This window comes from Homo sapiens, chromosome 5 (genome assembly GCF_000001405.40).
Source record: "Homo sapiens chromosome 5, GRCh38.p14 Primary Assembly".
In the NCBI taxonomy this organism is placed as follows: domain Eukaryota; kingdom Metazoa; phylum Chordata; class Mammalia; order Primates; family Hominidae; genus Homo; species Homo sapiens.
This window is the reverse complement of record NC_000005.10, coordinates 160385412-160400883: the sequence shown is the minus strand read 5'-3', so window position 1 is coordinate 160400883 and position 15472 is coordinate 160385412. Positions and strand designations below refer to the sequence as shown.

At 40.1% G+C, this 15472-nt stretch overlaps 1 protein-coding gene across 2 annotated transcripts, besides 4 other annotated features; it reads left to right on the top strand.

Annotated features, from left to right (window-relative positions):
• The first annotated feature begins 829 nt into the window (after positions 1 to 829).
• FAM200C (family with sequence similarity 200 member C) lies at positions 830 to 7736 on the top strand. 2 transcript variants are annotated; one of them, NM_001303251.2, is made up of 3 exons: positions 830 to 1245; positions 3369 to 3442; positions 5345 to 7736. In NM_001303251.2, exon 3 carries the CDS (start codon positions 5394 to 5396, stop codon positions 7176 to 7178), a length of 1785 nt encoding a protein of 594 aa, NP_001290180.1. In that variant the 5' UTR covers positions 830 to 1245; positions 3369 to 3442; positions 5345 to 5393; the 3' UTR covers positions 7179 to 7736. The 2 variants fall into 2 exon arrangements, with proteins under 2 accessions (NP_001290180.1, NP_071373.2); NM_022090.5 differs by lacking the exon at positions 3369 to 3442.
• Positions 1141 to 1290: an enhancer, noted in NCBI's record as "active region_23559". NCBI's record gives its function as "activates an Ori minimal core promoter by ATAC-STARR-seq in GM12878 lymphoblastoid cells {active_cell/tissue: GM12878}" and the evidence as "EXISTENCE:reporter gene assay evidence [ECO:0000049][PMID:35858748]".
• Positions 1141 to 1869: a biological region, named in NCBI's record as "H3K27ac hESC enhancer GRCh37_chr5:159826022-159826707".
• Positions 1184 to 1869: an enhancer, noted in NCBI's record as "H3K27ac hESC enhancer chr5:159826022-159826707 (GRCh37/hg19 assembly coordinates)". NCBI's record gives its function as "activates a minimal SCP1, AML or CMV promoter by ChIP-STARR-seq in naive H9 embryonic stem cells {active_cell/tissue: H9 hESC(naive)}" and the evidence as "EXISTENCE:reporter gene assay evidence [ECO:0000049][PMID:30033119]".
• Positions 2189 to 2688: an enhancer, noted in NCBI's record as "H3K4me1 hESC enhancer chr5:159825203-159825702 (GRCh37/hg19 assembly coordinates)". NCBI's record gives its function as "activates a minimal SCP1, AML or CMV promoter by ChIP-STARR-seq in naive H9 embryonic stem cells {active_cell/tissue: H9 hESC(naive)}" and the evidence as "EXISTENCE:reporter gene assay evidence [ECO:0000049][PMID:30033119]".
• Positions 7737 to 15472: the final 7736 nt, after the last annotated feature.

Sequence of the window (15472 nt, the reverse complement as noted above, 5' to 3'; positions counted from 1 at the left end):
GTTTCTTCCATCCACAAAAAACTTCAGCAGCCCGTCAATATTTACCAGGCTCACCCTTAACACCTGAAAATGATGTATCTGGCCCACATTCGTTGACGCCCCACCACTCCTCACACACACTAGTCTTATGGAATGCTTCTAACAAGATTGTACAAAAATGAGTAAACTCATTAAGTTTATAAGAATTCTGGAAAGACCCCCAAACAGGAAAGGGCTATATTCCGGTTTCTTTCAACAACGTTTCCTAGTTTCTACTTGGGATTTTTCTCTAAAACCTCTCTAATATGGGTTTATTTCTTTGAAATCATGTTGTTGAAAGAATTTAAAATAAAAATATTTCAGATATATGATGATGACATGGAAATTCATCCCTATGCTCCCACTTACGGAAAGTGGGATCAGCTTGCATAGGCAACAGTACACAAGCTATGGAAGCTCATCCTCCACTGCTGAAATGTCTAATCTGAAATTACAATGAGCTTCCTTCTCTTTTTCTCTCATTTATTCCACATGGAACATGGCAATTATCAGGCGTTTTATCTCCAAGCTCAAAGCCCGACACAATATAAAAGTTTAAGTGCTCTGCATGTTAAAAAGAACTATGTGGAGTTTACAGCCCCTTCCATTCCTGAAATTGTACAGTTCATCCTCTCTGGCAGACACAATAAACAAACGATTTCTTGTTCCACGTACACAATCTTAAAAAAAAAATTGGGAAGGGCTAGCGCGCATGCTCAATACTCAAGCCAGCCAGCCCATCCCACAGCCCTTTGCTACTGCGCCTGCGTGTGGGAGACGCCTCTCCCAGTTTGCGGGCGGGAAGCACCCTGGAGAACCCGGATGGAACCCGGGCCTGGCTGAGGCGGAGGTTGTTGCGGATGCTTCTCTCTCCAGGCGCACCGCAGATTCCTGCCCGGGGGTTGGACCCGAGGAACCGCCGTCTCTACTGGTTCCGACGGCCAGAGGCTGGGCCCTAGGCTGAGCGGAGAGTGGGACTGGAGCCTGAAACGGGCGCCTAAAAGAAGCCCGTGCATCCCATAGGCCTGCGCCTCAGGCTTGGAGACGGGCGGGCGGAGACCGCGCTGAGTCTTTTTTTTTTTTTTCCTAGCAGCTGGCGTTCTTATCTCACCCGGGAGGCTGTAAAAATCTCCGTCCTTAACAGTAACACCATCAGGTCCTATCAGTTAAGAGCTGCTTGTTATTTGCATGCATTCTTATAATTAAATCTCCTAACAACCCTGTAAGGTAGGTACTGTTATCCCCTCTGGAGGAACTGAGGCTTGGAAAGGTCCCATCCTGTAAGTGACAAAGCCACGATCCCAGGCGTTTGCCCCTGGAGCGTCTGCCCAGCCACCAAGTTCCTGCCCCCATTCTCCTGGCTATTGATTTTAACTGTAAAATGTAATGGTTAAATGCTCTGCCTCCCCAGACACCTGCGCCTATCATGATCTTGCATACGCAGTGGCTAGAAAGAAGTTGAATTGTATTTGGTTTGGAGTTTTAGGTTTACAGCTGCACTTTGGTGTTTTCACTGCTGGAATATATATATATTAGCATTCCCTAAATATTTGTTTTGTGAGTGTTCACTTTTAACTGATTTTTCTCATTTGTAATACTTTTTCATATCTACCCTTCATAAACTTGCAAAAACATTTTACTTTGTTATATCAGATCTTTCATTAAGCATCTGAAGATAATCTCTCAAAAGAATCATGCTTAAAATGAGTGATATCTATCTTAAGATAATGCTTTTTATCTTTTTATTATGGAAAGTTTCCAAAATACATTAAAATAGAACGGTGTAATGATGTATACCCATCATCCAGCTTCAAGAGTTACCAACTTAAGGCCAGTCATTTCTTTTATCTCCACCCCGCTTTGTGCATGTTTGTGAGTGTGCTGAAGTACGTATTTCAAAGGAATCCCAGACATCTTATTTCACTTGTAAATAATTGTCTGTATCTAACAAATGAGGACTTTTTAAAAACACAACCACAATACCATTATCATGCCTGTTTAACAATATCTCCTTATCATGATGCTTTTTAATGTTTACGTTTTTTAGGATATTGTAATTCCTAAATACCACAAAAGCGCAAGTGCAAATTGTGAGGTTCTAAAACACAAGCCTCTTGGGCAGTAAGTTCATCTTTGAGGCCCTTGAAAATTCTTGCCACCTGTTCTCCCTTTTTGAGGGTTATGGAGAAGAATACTTTAAATTGATTTTCCTAAAACTGTTCAAAACAGATAAATTTTAAATTAAAATATACTTGAGAGACATAGTCAAGGTGGATAGGAATGGACTCTTAACAGATCTTGTAATGATTTCCAGTTTGTTTTGTTTTTGAGACAGAGTCTCACTCCGTCACCCAGTCTGGAGAGCGCAGTGGCATCATCTCGGCTCACTGCAACCTCTGCCTCCCAGATCAAGCGATTCTCCTGCATCAGCCTCTCCAGTAGCTGGGATCACCATGCACAGCTAATTTTTGTATTTTTAGTAGAGACGAGGTTTCGCCAAGTTGGCAGGGCCAGTCTCAAACTCCTGACCTCAGGTGATCCGCCTTCCTCGGCCTCCCAAAGTGCTGGGATTATGGACATGAGCCACCGTACCCAGCCTTTTTTTGAGACAGAGTCTGGCTGTGTCACCCAGGCTGGAGTGCAGTGGCGTGATCTCAGCTCACTGCAATGATCTCAGCTCACAGCAACCTCTGCCCCCTGGGTTCAAGCGATTCTCCTGCCTCAGCCTCCCGAGTAGATGGGACTACAGGCATGCGCCACCACACCCAGCTAATTTTTGTATTTTTAGTAGAGACAGAGTTTCACTATGTTGGCCTGGCTGGTCTGGAACTCCTGACCTCAAGTGATCTGCCCGCCTTGGCTTCCCAAAGTGCTGGGGTAGCAGGCGTGAGCCACCGTGCAGGGCCCCTCTTGTAATGATTTCTAATGTGACTAAAAACATTTTCCTTTATTCCCTCTTCCTCCCCAAATATTACATGATAAATATACATTAATAGAATACAGAAAAATAAGCATTTATGGTAATGTCATAATTTTATCGTCATTAATTAGAAGTGGTTCTAAGCAAAAGTGGTCATGTAGTCTCATTACTTGACAAAAGAAGTCTTAAGATCAGCTCTTTAAACTTCAGGTTGTCTTTTTTGATTGGCAGACATCCTCCAATTTAACAGGCTCATAACAACCTTGTAACAGCTCAGCTTATTTTATTGGAGTACACTTTACAACTAGTTCATCTTGGTAGATCCACTTGAAAGCTAATGCTTTAAGTGGATATTCTTGGCTTGTGATTTTTCTTTTAATGTCCAAAGTGGGCATTCAGATTTAAATGTGTACCTGTTACTTTATTTCAGCCACATTCTCTGGCACAGAACTTTGGAAACTTTGGGGATCACTTACTTATCTTGGAGATAGAATGTTTTCTAAGGTATATTTGAGCCTACCTGTGGATTATGCCTTTACTCGTTGCTAAAGGGAGAGAAAGAGAAAAGATATGGCTTTCATTTTAGGTTTCAACTTTCATAGGAGGCTGTCATCAACTCAGAAAATGTAGAAAATTTAAATATCTATTAAAGCATTGGGACCATTCACTTAGAAACCTAGAATATTTGTTAGCTAAGGATTGGTTTGAAGGATACGTTTTTATTCCCCTAAGCCTGACTACTTAACCAGGTTGTGTTTCAGGACTGCCTGAACAACATTATTTCATATTCTTTTGTTCTGCTTCTGGAGAAGATATGTATTAGTTCTAAGGTAGTGCAGGGACGTGTATATTTTGAAAGGGTTTCCCAGTGATTGTGATGATATGGTGTCTCTTGTCACAGATCACTGTTCTAGTTACTATTTATAAGAATTATCTAAAATACTTACAATACAGATTCTAGGCCCCCACTCCATAGCTGGAGAATCAGAATCTCTATGGGTAGGGCCTTCTACATCCTGTCTTTGGGTTAAACCAAACCTTAGGAATGCTGCTTATTTTGTGTATGTGCATGTGTGTGTTCTTGACTGCTTTCCCTTAGAGGTATTTAGGTGGAAAAGCATCATGAAATTCGTTATTTTACTTAAGAGTGTTCTCCTATGAGAGGGATTTTTCTGAAGTCTCGGTAACAAGAATAGTTGTGTTTCCCCTGAGCAAGTTGTTTTGCTTTTTTTTTTTTTTTTTTTTTTCCACAGAGACTTGCTCTGTCGCCCAGGCTGGAGTGCAGTGGCATGATCTTGGCTTAGTAGCTGGGACTACAGGCGTATGCCACCATGCCCAGCTAATTTTTTGTATTTTTAGTAGAGATGGGGTTTCACCATATTGCCCAGGCTGGTCTCGAACTCCTGAGCTCAGGCAGTCCACCCACCTCAGCCTCCTAAAGTGCTGGGATTACAGGCATGAGCTACCACGCCCGACCATTTTGCTTTTTTATATGGACACTATGAATCATGGACTGATAGTGTGTTACACTTAGCAGCAAGGAAGCTCTGAGCCAATTTGTAGCCTACCTTTGCATCAGGGGTGGCTTAATCAGACTTAAAGACCTATTTGAAATTCTCTGCCTAAGTTGGAGTCAAAACTGCTCAAGGTTCAAATAGTATTACAGACCTGTTTAGTCTTTAACTATTAAAAAGAACTACCATGTTCTCACTCATAAATGGTAGCTAAATAATGTGTACACATGGACGTGGATAATGGAGTGATGGGTAAAGGAGACTTGGAAGGGTGGGGTGGAAGAGTGGGGTGGGAGGGAGTAGATGAGAAATAATGAGTACAATGTATGTTATTTGGGTGACGGATACCCTAAAAACCCTCACTTTGCCACTATGTGGTCTATGCATATAACAAAATTGTGCTTGTACCCCATAAATGTATACAATTATTTTAACCTCCATGTCAGAATCCACCCTTCCTTATTTAGTGAATTGCTCCTTTATTCAGTGATTCTTAACTGAGGGTATGCATACATCTTTGGGGCTGAGTGGAAGAAGGTGGTGGTAGTGAGATGCCCTTTCTAGGGATACAAAATGTGCTAGATTTGTTTGTAACATACATTATTGAAAACAAGTTAAGCCATAACTATAATTCACCAATAAAGGACTTACAGGTGTTCATAACTTGTCTAAGCTCAAATCTCCCATATATAACTTGCTGGCAAATCATTTATTCCAGGGCATTAGCTATGAGTTGCTAGCTTTAAGTTGAACTATATCCTGTCATGGCTTACTTCGAATTGACATGCTGCAGGCTGTATCTTGACATATACAAGATAGCATGTGATGTGGCTTTGTTTTAATTCAGTTAGCCACTGGTTTTTAATGTGTGGGTTATATTTTACTCCCAAAGCAAAATTCTGTGGCATCTCTGGAATACTACCTGAGAATTTTTGTGTGCCATGTCGAAGAAACGCAAATGGGATGATGACTATGTTCGCTACTGGTTCACCTGTACAACGGAAGTAGATGGAACTCAGCGTCCACAGTGTGTGTTGTGTAACTCAGTATTTTCAAATGCTGACCTCAGACCATCAAAACTGTCAGACCATTTTAACAGACAGCATGGTGGTGTAGCTGGGCATGATCTCAATAGCCTGAAGCATATGCCAGCACCATCTGATCAGAGTGAAACCTTGAAAGCATTTGGAGTTGCATCTCATGAGGATACTTTATTACAAGCATCGTATCAATTTGCGTATTTATGTGCCAAGGAGAAGAATCCTCATACAGTAGCTGAAAAGTTAGTGAAACCTTGTGCACTGGAAATAGCACAAATAGTTTTGGGACCAGATGCACAAAAAAAGCTTCAGCAGGTACCCTTATCAGATGATGTGATCCATTCTAGAATTGATGAAATGAGCCAGGATATCTTACAGCAAGTTCTAGAAGATATCAAAGCCAGTCCTCTTAAAGTGGGTATTCAGCTTGCTGAGACAACTGACATGGATGACTGCAGTCAGCTAATGGCATTTGTGCGCTATATAAAAGAAAGAGAGATCGTAGAAGAATTTCTCTTCTGTGAACCATTGCAGCTATCCATGAAAGGAATAGATGTGTTCAATCTCTTCAGAGACTTCTTTCTGAAGCATAAGATAGCACTTGATGTATGTGGCTCTGTTTGTACTGATGGTGCCTCCTCTATGCTAGGAGAAAATTCCGAGTTTGTTGCCTACGTGAAAAAAGAGATACCTCATATCGTAGTTACACATTGTTTATTGAATCCTCATGCACTTGTCATAAAGACATTGCCTACAAAACTGAGGGATGCTCTGTTTACTGTGGTGAGGGTAATAAATTTCATCAAAGGGAGAGCTCCAAATCATCGCCTATTTCAGGCTTTCTTTGAAGAAATTGGCATAGAATATAGTGTCCTCCTTTTCCATACTGAAATGAGGTGGCTTTCCCGAGGCCAAATACTTACTCACATTTTTGAAATGTATGAAGAAATAAATCAGTTTCTTCACCACAAGAGCAGTAATTTAGTTGATGGCTTTGAAAATAAAGAGTTTAAAATTCACCTAGCATACCTTGCAGATTTATTCAAACACTTAAATGAACTCAGTGCATCTATGCAGAGGACTGGGATGAACACAGTATCAGCTAGAGAGAAGTTATCTGCTTTTGTTAGGAAGTTTCCATTTTGGCAAAAACGAATTGAGAAAAGAAATTTTACCAATTTTCCTTTTCTTGAAGAAATAATTGTTTCAGATAATGAAGGCATATTCATTGCAGCTGAAATAACACTGCATCTGCAACAATTGAGCAACTTCTTCCATGGATATTTTTCCATTGGAGATCTTAATGAGGCAAGTAAATGGATATTGGATCCATTTCTTTTTAATATCGATTTTGTTGATGATAGTTATTTAATGAAAAATGATCTTGCTGAATTACGAGCTAGTGGCCAAATCCTAATGGAATTTGAGACAATGAAGCTTGAGGATTTCTGGTGTGCCCAATTCACAGCATTTCCAAACCTGGCAAAGACAGCTCTAGAAATCCTTATGCCATTTGCAACTACATACCTTTGTGAGTTGGGATTTTCATCACTTTTACATTTCAAAACAAAGTCCAGAAGCTGCTTTAATCTGAGTGATGATATCCGTGTGGCTATTTCAAAAAAAGTTCCTCGTTTCTCGGACATCATTGAACAAAAGCTACAGCTACAGCAGAAGTCACTGTAAGCTGATATACTTTTTTAATGAATAATTTCAATCTTAATATCATTGTAAAATTAAGCTGTAATTCTGTCTCTTTCATATTTATGATATACTGAATTCTATGTCTAAAAAACTTAAGAACTTTAATTTTGAATGAGGCATGTGAAAATATGTTTTGAGAATAAAAACACAGCAGAAAAGATTAAGTACTACTGCCTAGTTGCTATCATGAGATTTTCCCAATTCTAAGTATCTGTTTAACCTGTTCGTGTGGTATATGAAAAAGATACCTAAGCACTAGAATATCCAGCTAAATGGTGCAATAGGCTAGGAATTGAGCCAGGAGAAAAGAGAAGATATCCCAGAAGTCAAAAAGGCAAAATGAAAGATTGAGTTCGCCCGTCTTTGTTATGGAGAGGTTAATGAAATCAGAAGAGGATTATGAAATATAATGGGAAAAGGAATGATCTGGCTTATGTAAGACTTACTTTTAAATATACTCTTTGGAGTTAGTCTCACAATGTCCATTCCCCTAGCTCCTGTGCTATGAATATCATATTAATAAATAGCCTAATATATTAATCACTGTTTGTCATCTTTAAATTACTTCAGAACTCCAAGTTATCAAGGCTGCTGAAAAGGAGATTCCTGAGCCTTACCCTAGAGATTGTGATTAGTAGGCCTGTGATAAGGTCAAGGATCCTCATTCATAACCAGCTTTCCAGACTGTTCTGATGGATTCTTGGATTCTTGGGTCCTCTGGGTTCAATTTTTCCTATACTTATTTTTCCTTTACCCTAATTTTGTCACTTATATTACATCTTATATGTATTTTTCTAAGTTCAAAATGTCAGAGTATAAATCATAAATAAATTGACATGAAATCAATGGAGTAATTCAAGACCATCAAAAAATTCCCCATGGGAATCTAACTTAGCACACTTTTTCTGGATGATAATTTGGCAAAATATTTTTTAATTTAAATAAATTTTCATTTCTATTTTTAAACATTAATATTTTATCAAAGTACTACATGCTCAAGGCTGGGAAAAAATGATATAGAGAGTCCTATAAGGAAAAGCCACAATCCCCTTCCTGCCCAATTACCCATTTCTTCTGTAATTTCTTGTGGTTCCACCCACATCTCTTAAGTAGTATGTTCATACCATGACATATAGCAGTTGAATCAGCTTTAAAAGTTATATATTGACTCCCCTAGATAATATGTAAGGATTGAATTTATAAAATATCCATCTCCTACTACTCTCAATTTTTTATTATTATTACACTAATGTTAGTCTCTTTGTTGGTTATTTATAGCCCTTTGATTAAGAATTTTTCCTCTATAAATTTATCATGTGGAAAGAATCAGGAATGTCCAAAAGTTTTACTTATAAGGTGGCTAATCAGAACACTTTTATAATACTGAAAAATAAAAAATAAACCTGAAGGGAAATGGAACCTGACTACCAAATTTAGATGCCACATTAGTACGCAAATCAAAGTTTATATTTTATCAGTAAGTATAAATACACACCTTTTTTCACTGAAAAATGTAGTAACAGAATATAGGTCCTAATTTTCCTATTACAATCTAACATCAAAGACAGAAAAATTTCCAAAGCTAATATGGAAATCTAGATGTGTAGGCCAGGTGCGGTGGCTCATGCCTGTAATCCCAGCACTTTGGGAGGCCAAGGTGGGCGGATCACTAGGTCAGGAGTTCGAAATCAGCCTGGCTAAAATGGTGAAACCCCACCTCTACTAAAAATACAAAAATTAGCCAGGCATGGTGACATGCGCCTATAATCCCAGCTACTCAGGAGGCTGAGACGGAAGAATTGCTTGAACCCAGGAGACACAGGTTGCAGTGAGCTGAGATTGTGCCACTGCACCCCAGCCTAGGTGACAGAGTGAGACTCCATCTCAAAAAAAAAAAAAAAATCTAGATGTGTGTATATAAAGTTTAATCTGTATGCAATTCTAAAGTTAGGAAGGAGGTAGGAATAGGGACATGGGCATGTATGAAACCTAGGATTTAATAGTATGATAGAAGGACCAGGATTAAATGACCTTTGATAGCCAGTCTTTCATTAGGTCTTAGACTAAATTAGTTATTGCTGCTCTGAAACAAAAACTCAAAGGACATTTTTAAGGAAATGGCTAACTAGGATTTTTATTCATTTTCAAATTCTACAACAATTTTATTTTCTCCTGATCAAATGAAAGAGCTGCAGTGTTTGCTAAAATGAAGGAATTTCAATTTTTTTTAGTTTAAAAATGTCCCACAGTGGTACATATATTGGAATTTTTAGTCATGTGTTGGTTTCTTTTTTCCCAAAGAAGAGATAATTACTTTTCTTATGTTTTATTTTAGAGTCATTGATAAATTTTGAAAAGGAGTAAAATAGAATAAAAACATAATCTTCATGACCAGCAGATGTCACTCTCTGTATAGGTTTGAATGAGAAAGCAACTTTACTCACATTACAGATTTTGCCAAATAGCTGATTTTAAACATCTCTAGAAAAGGTACTAGTGGCTCAAATTTAAAATTCCTTACCTGAGCCTCTGTGGACTGAAAACTGGCAGGCAGAACTCTGTTGGAGCCGGTAACCATGAGACTGCAAGAAATCACTGGGAAACCCAGGTGGGAAAGAAAATATCAATGACTTTTTCTGTAATACAAGCGTGTGCATTTTTGACATCCTCACTGTTTGTCTAAGCCACCAAAAACTGCTGAAAGTTAGTAAATAATAGGTCAGCATTTTCAGGCATGAGCCAATGGGAAGCAAAACCAAATAGACTTACACTTTTTTTTTTTTTTTTTTTTTTTTTGAAGCAGAGTCTTGCTCTGTCGCCCAGGCCGGAGTTCAGTGGCGCCGTCTTGGCTCGCTGCAAGCTCCGCCTCCTGGGTTCATGCCATTCTCCTGCCTCAGCCTCCTGAGTAGCTGGGACTACAGGCACCCGCCACCACGCCCAGCTAATTTTTTTGTATTTTTAGTAGAGAGGGGGTTTCACCATGTTAGCCAGGATGGTCTCGATCTGACCTCGTGATCCACCCGCCTCGACCTCCCAAAGTGCTGGGGTTACAGGCATGTGCCCCCGCACCCGGCTAACTTATACTTTTAAAGAGTGAACTTGATGATACTTGAATTATATCTCAATTTTTTTTTTTTTTTTTTTTTTGAGACGGAGTTTCATTCTGTCACCCAGGCTGGAGTGCAGTGGTGTGATCGTGATCTCGGCTCACTGCAACCTCCACTCCCGGGTTCAAGAGATTCTCCTGTCTCAGCCTCCCAAGTAGCTGGGATTACAGATGCCCACCACTGCGTCCAGCTAATTTTTGTATTTTTAGTAGAGATAGGGTTTCACCATATTGGCCAGGCTGGTCTCAAACTCCTAACCTCAAGTGATCCACCTGCCTTGGCCTCCCAAAGTGCTGGGATTACAAGCATGAGCCACTGCGCCCAGCCTCAATTTTTAAAAATAGACTCTGCGGCCGGGTGCAGTCGCTCACACCTGTAATCCCAGCACTTTGGGAAGCTGAGGCAGGAGGGCTGTTGAGGCCAGGAGTTCAAGACTAGCGTGAGCAACATATCAAGACCCCGTCTCTACAAAAAATAAAATTAGCTGGGCATGGTAGCACATGCCTGTAGTCCCAGCTACTCAAGAGACTGAGACAGGAAGTTTCCTTGAGCCCAAAAGGTTGAGGCTGAAGTAGGCCATGATGGTGCCACTGCACTCCAGCCTGGGTGACAGAGTGAGACCTTGTCTGAAAAAAAAAAAAAGGCTGGGCACAGTGGCTCACAGCTGTAATCCTGGCACTTTGGGAGGCCATGGCAGGAGGATCACTTGAGCCCAGGAGCTCAAGACCAGCCTGGCCAACAAAGTGACACCCTTTCTTTACAAAAATTAGCCCAGTGTGGTGGCATGCCCTCATAGTCCTAGCTACTTGGGAGGTTGAATTGGGAGGATCGCTTGAGCCCTGGAGGTGGAGGCTACAGTGAGCTGTGATTATGCCACTGCACTCCAGCCTGGGCAATAGAGACCCATATAAAAAAAAAAAAAAAAAGCTCTGGATAGTATACAGGTTTTTTTTTTTAGCACCAAATTATATCAAATACTATGAGCATGGCTTTAATATCTACCAGGCATTTAGAAACATCGAATATGAAGCTTTCAAAGTCTACGTTAATTTGAAGGGCAGTATAAGGTTATTGTGTGTTGTGATTTGTGCTTCTATGAATAAAGAGAGACCTTAGATTATTTTACTTTTGTTTTACAAATTTGCTGTAAATCTTATCATACTTCAGCAATGGATTGAGTCCTGTCTCAGCTACTGATTAGTTGTATAAACTTTGTAGTTCTTGGCGTATAGGAATCAAGAGATCTGACAGTCTGATCATCTTGTTTTGACCTGCTTAGCATTCATTCATTCACTTGCTTCTTTTAATAATAACACCCTGATTTTTCTTGAGGAACTATTTTCCCCCCACTATCAGTCCATATTACCCCCTACTGGCTAATTAGTTAGCTGTAGTACTTTTGCTGGAATTAATAGGAAAGATGCTATACATTCTAAACTAATAGGATGTGTCTGGACTTCCAGTGGTCGGTTTTGCTACCTGTATTAGGGTTCTCCAGAGGAACAGAATGAATAGGATGTATGTATATGTGAAAGGGATTTTATTAGAAAGAATTGGCTCACATGATGCACAAGGCGAAGTCCCACGATAGGCCATCTGCAAGGTGTGGATGAGAGAAGCCAGTAGGGATTCAGTCTGAAAGCCTCAAAACTAGGGAAGCCAACAATACAGCCTTCAGTCTGTGGCTGAAGGCCCTAGAGCCCCTGGCAATCCACTGGTGTAAATCCAAGAGTCCAGAGGCTGAAGAACCTGGAGTCTGATGTCCAAGGGCGGCAGGAGCAGGAAGAAGCATCCAGCATGGGAAAAAGAAGGAAGCCAGGAGACCCAGCAAGCAAAAGCTATTCCACCTTCTCCCTCTGTTCTAGCGGAGAACAAATGTAAGCTGTAAATGCTTACATTAAAAAGAAAAGTCAGCCGGGCATGGTGGCTCACGCCTGTAATCCCAACACTTTGGGAGGCCGAGACAGGCAGATCACGAGGTCAGGAGTTTGAGACCGGCCTGGCCAACATGGTGAAAACCCATCTCTACTAAAAATAAAAAAATTAGCTGGGTGTGGTGGCAGGCACCTGTAATCCCAGCTACTTGGGAGACTGAGGCAGGAGAATCATTTGAACCCAGGAGGCAGAGGTTGCAGTGAGCAGAGATCGCACCATTGCACTCCAGCCTAGGTGACAGGGCAAGACTCTGTCTCAAAAAAAAAAAAGAAAAGTCAATAACCTAAACTTCCACCTAAAGAAACTAGAGAAATAAGAGCAAACTAAACCCAAAGCAAGCAGAAGGAAGGAAATAATAAAGATTAAAGTGGAAATAAATGAAACTCACCAACAATAGAGAAAATCATAGAAATCAACAGTTAGTCCTTTGAAAATATTAACAAAATTGACAAACCTTAAGTTAGACCTAGAAAAAACAGGAATGAAAGGGGACATTACTACCAACCTTACAGAATCAAAGAAGGAAATATTATGAACAATTGCATACCAACAAATTAGATAACCTAGATGAAACAGAAAAATTAATAGAAAGGCACAAACTCCCAAAACTGACTCAAGAAAAAATAGGAAACCTGAATAGACCCATAACAAGTAAAAAGATTGAGTCAGTAATCCAAAAAAAATCCAAGGAACCAGAGAAAGGCTCAGGGCCAGATGGATTCACTGTCATCTGATGAATTCTAACAAATATTAAAAGAACACCAATCCTTCACAAATTCTTCCAAAAAAATGAAAAGGGAGGAACACTTACCTCATTCCATGATATCAAACCAAACAAATAACATCACAAGAAAACTGCAGACCAGTATTCCTTATGAATATGCTTATAAAAATCCTCCATAAAATACTGGCAAACTCAATCCAGCAACATGTGACAAAAATTATACATTGTGACCAAGTGAGATTTATTCCAAGAATGCAAGGTTGGTTCAATGTGAAAGTCAACCAGTAGGATACATCAAACTAACAGAATAAAAGAAACCACATGATCATTTCAACAGACGGGAAAAAAAACACTTGACAAATCCAATATCCTTTAATTAAAAAAAAAAAAACTAGAAATAGAAGGAAATGTCCTCAACTTGATGAGCATTTATGAAAATATGAAAAACCCACAGCTAACATACTTAGTGGTTAAAAAAAAAAGCCTTCCCTATAAGATCAGGAAAAGTCAAGACTGTCTACTCTCACCACTTGTTTGTTTGGTTTTTTTGAGACAAGGCCTATCTCTGTTGTTCAGGCTAGAGTGCAGTGGCACAATCATGGCTCACTACAGCCTCCACCTCCCAGGCTCAAACGATCCTCCTGCCTCAGCCTCCTGAGTAGCTGTAACCACAAGCACACACCACCATGGCAGGCTAATTGTTTATATTGTTTGTAGAGATGGGATTTTGCCATGTTGCCCAGGCTGGTCTCAAACTCCTGAGCTTGAGCATTCTGCCTGCCTTGGCCTCCCAGAGTGCTAGTATTACAGATGTGAGCCACTGCTCCCAGCCACCACTTTTATTTAACATTGTACTTGGAGATTCTAACCAGGGCAATTAGGCAATAAAAAGAAATAAAAAGAATTACTTTTTATTAACATTTGTTATTGGACGTGGAAGCTTTAAGAGGTGTATTCAGAGCATCCCCTGGTGTCCCAGACATAGTCTTTCTTGCTGCCATTGTGTAGCAGCAACCCAATTTCTCCTTAGTAATCATTATTGATTGCCCTAGCCAGTAAAATATTCCCCCTCTTTGCGTATTGGTTCAGTGACATGAGCCCAGTACTAATGGTGATGGACAGAATTCATTTGCCAGATAATAGGACCCAAAATGACAAATCTATAATTTATTACAGGAAAAGAAAATAGGATAGTATCAGCATTAAAGTACAGATATGCATCATACCCAAAGGCTGCCTCATAAGAAGAGGTCTGGAGAGGACAATTTTGAGCACTAACTGTCAGGGCTTGTGGTAGGCAGAAAAATGGTCCTTCAAAGGTGTCTGCATATTTATCCCTGAAACCTGTGCATATGTTACTTTACATGGCAAAAAAAGACTTCGAAAATGTGATTAAGTGAAATATCTTGAGATAGGAAGATTATCCTGGATTATCCAATGGGCCCATTGTGGTCACAAGGGTCCCTCTCTTAAGGAGACAGGAGAATCAAAGAAGATGTGAGGATAAAAGCAAAGGTCAGGGAGTCAGTTTTGAAGATGCTACTCTGCCAGCTTTGAAGATGAAAGAAGAGGCCACCAGCCTAGGAATACAGGCAGCCTCTAGAATTTGGAAAAGGTAAGAACAGATTCTCCACTTGAATTTCCAGAAGGAATCAGCCTGTTGACTGACAACTTTACCTTAATTCATAAGACTGATTTTGGACTTTTGACCTACAGAATGTAAGATAATAAATTTATGTCATTTTAAGCTACTGATTTTGTGGTAAAGTGTTAGAGCGGCAATAGGAAACTAACACAGGGCAGTAGGGACACACTCTCTTGGATCAGGGACCAACAGTATGAGCATGGAACACCTCAGAACCAGAGGGCTCAAAATGGAGCCTCAGCTGGGGTTTCTTACACCCTGCTGTTCACACAGGCGTATTTTTGGCACATAACCAGCCCCAGCAACCAAGTTTTTGTGTCCCTGGAGGAAGGAGAACAGCGGGAGGGACAGAGGTCTCCAGGTATAAATCATTCATCTGACTATTACAATAAACAGTGTTGACAAACTGGTACAAACTACCCTGAAACTCCTCATACATAAGGTTACAAAACAATATTATTAATCAGGATATATTATGCCTTGACCAGGATTTGGTGTTATGCAAACAGCTGAGGCCAATTTCAGGCCCACTGGAATTCATCCTCATAGCACAACCCCAAAATGATCAGTGACAGTCTCAACTTACAATTCACTAGAACCACTGTTATATCCCCTGGTGGAAGCATTCCTCTCTTGGGAAACAAGACTGCCAAAATAACAGTTCACAGATGCAGCAAAGGGAAGCACAAATTCTGTGAGTGGATTATTAGGTGCAATAGTAAAATGAGCCACTCCCACTTTCACTCCTTGATTTCTGGGCTCATATTTTGACCTTGGAAGTTAGGGTTACATATCTTTGGTTATCAATTCAAAGCACATACTGCATCCTGTGAAATAGAACCTAATCCTCTTAGGTTATTTTCTC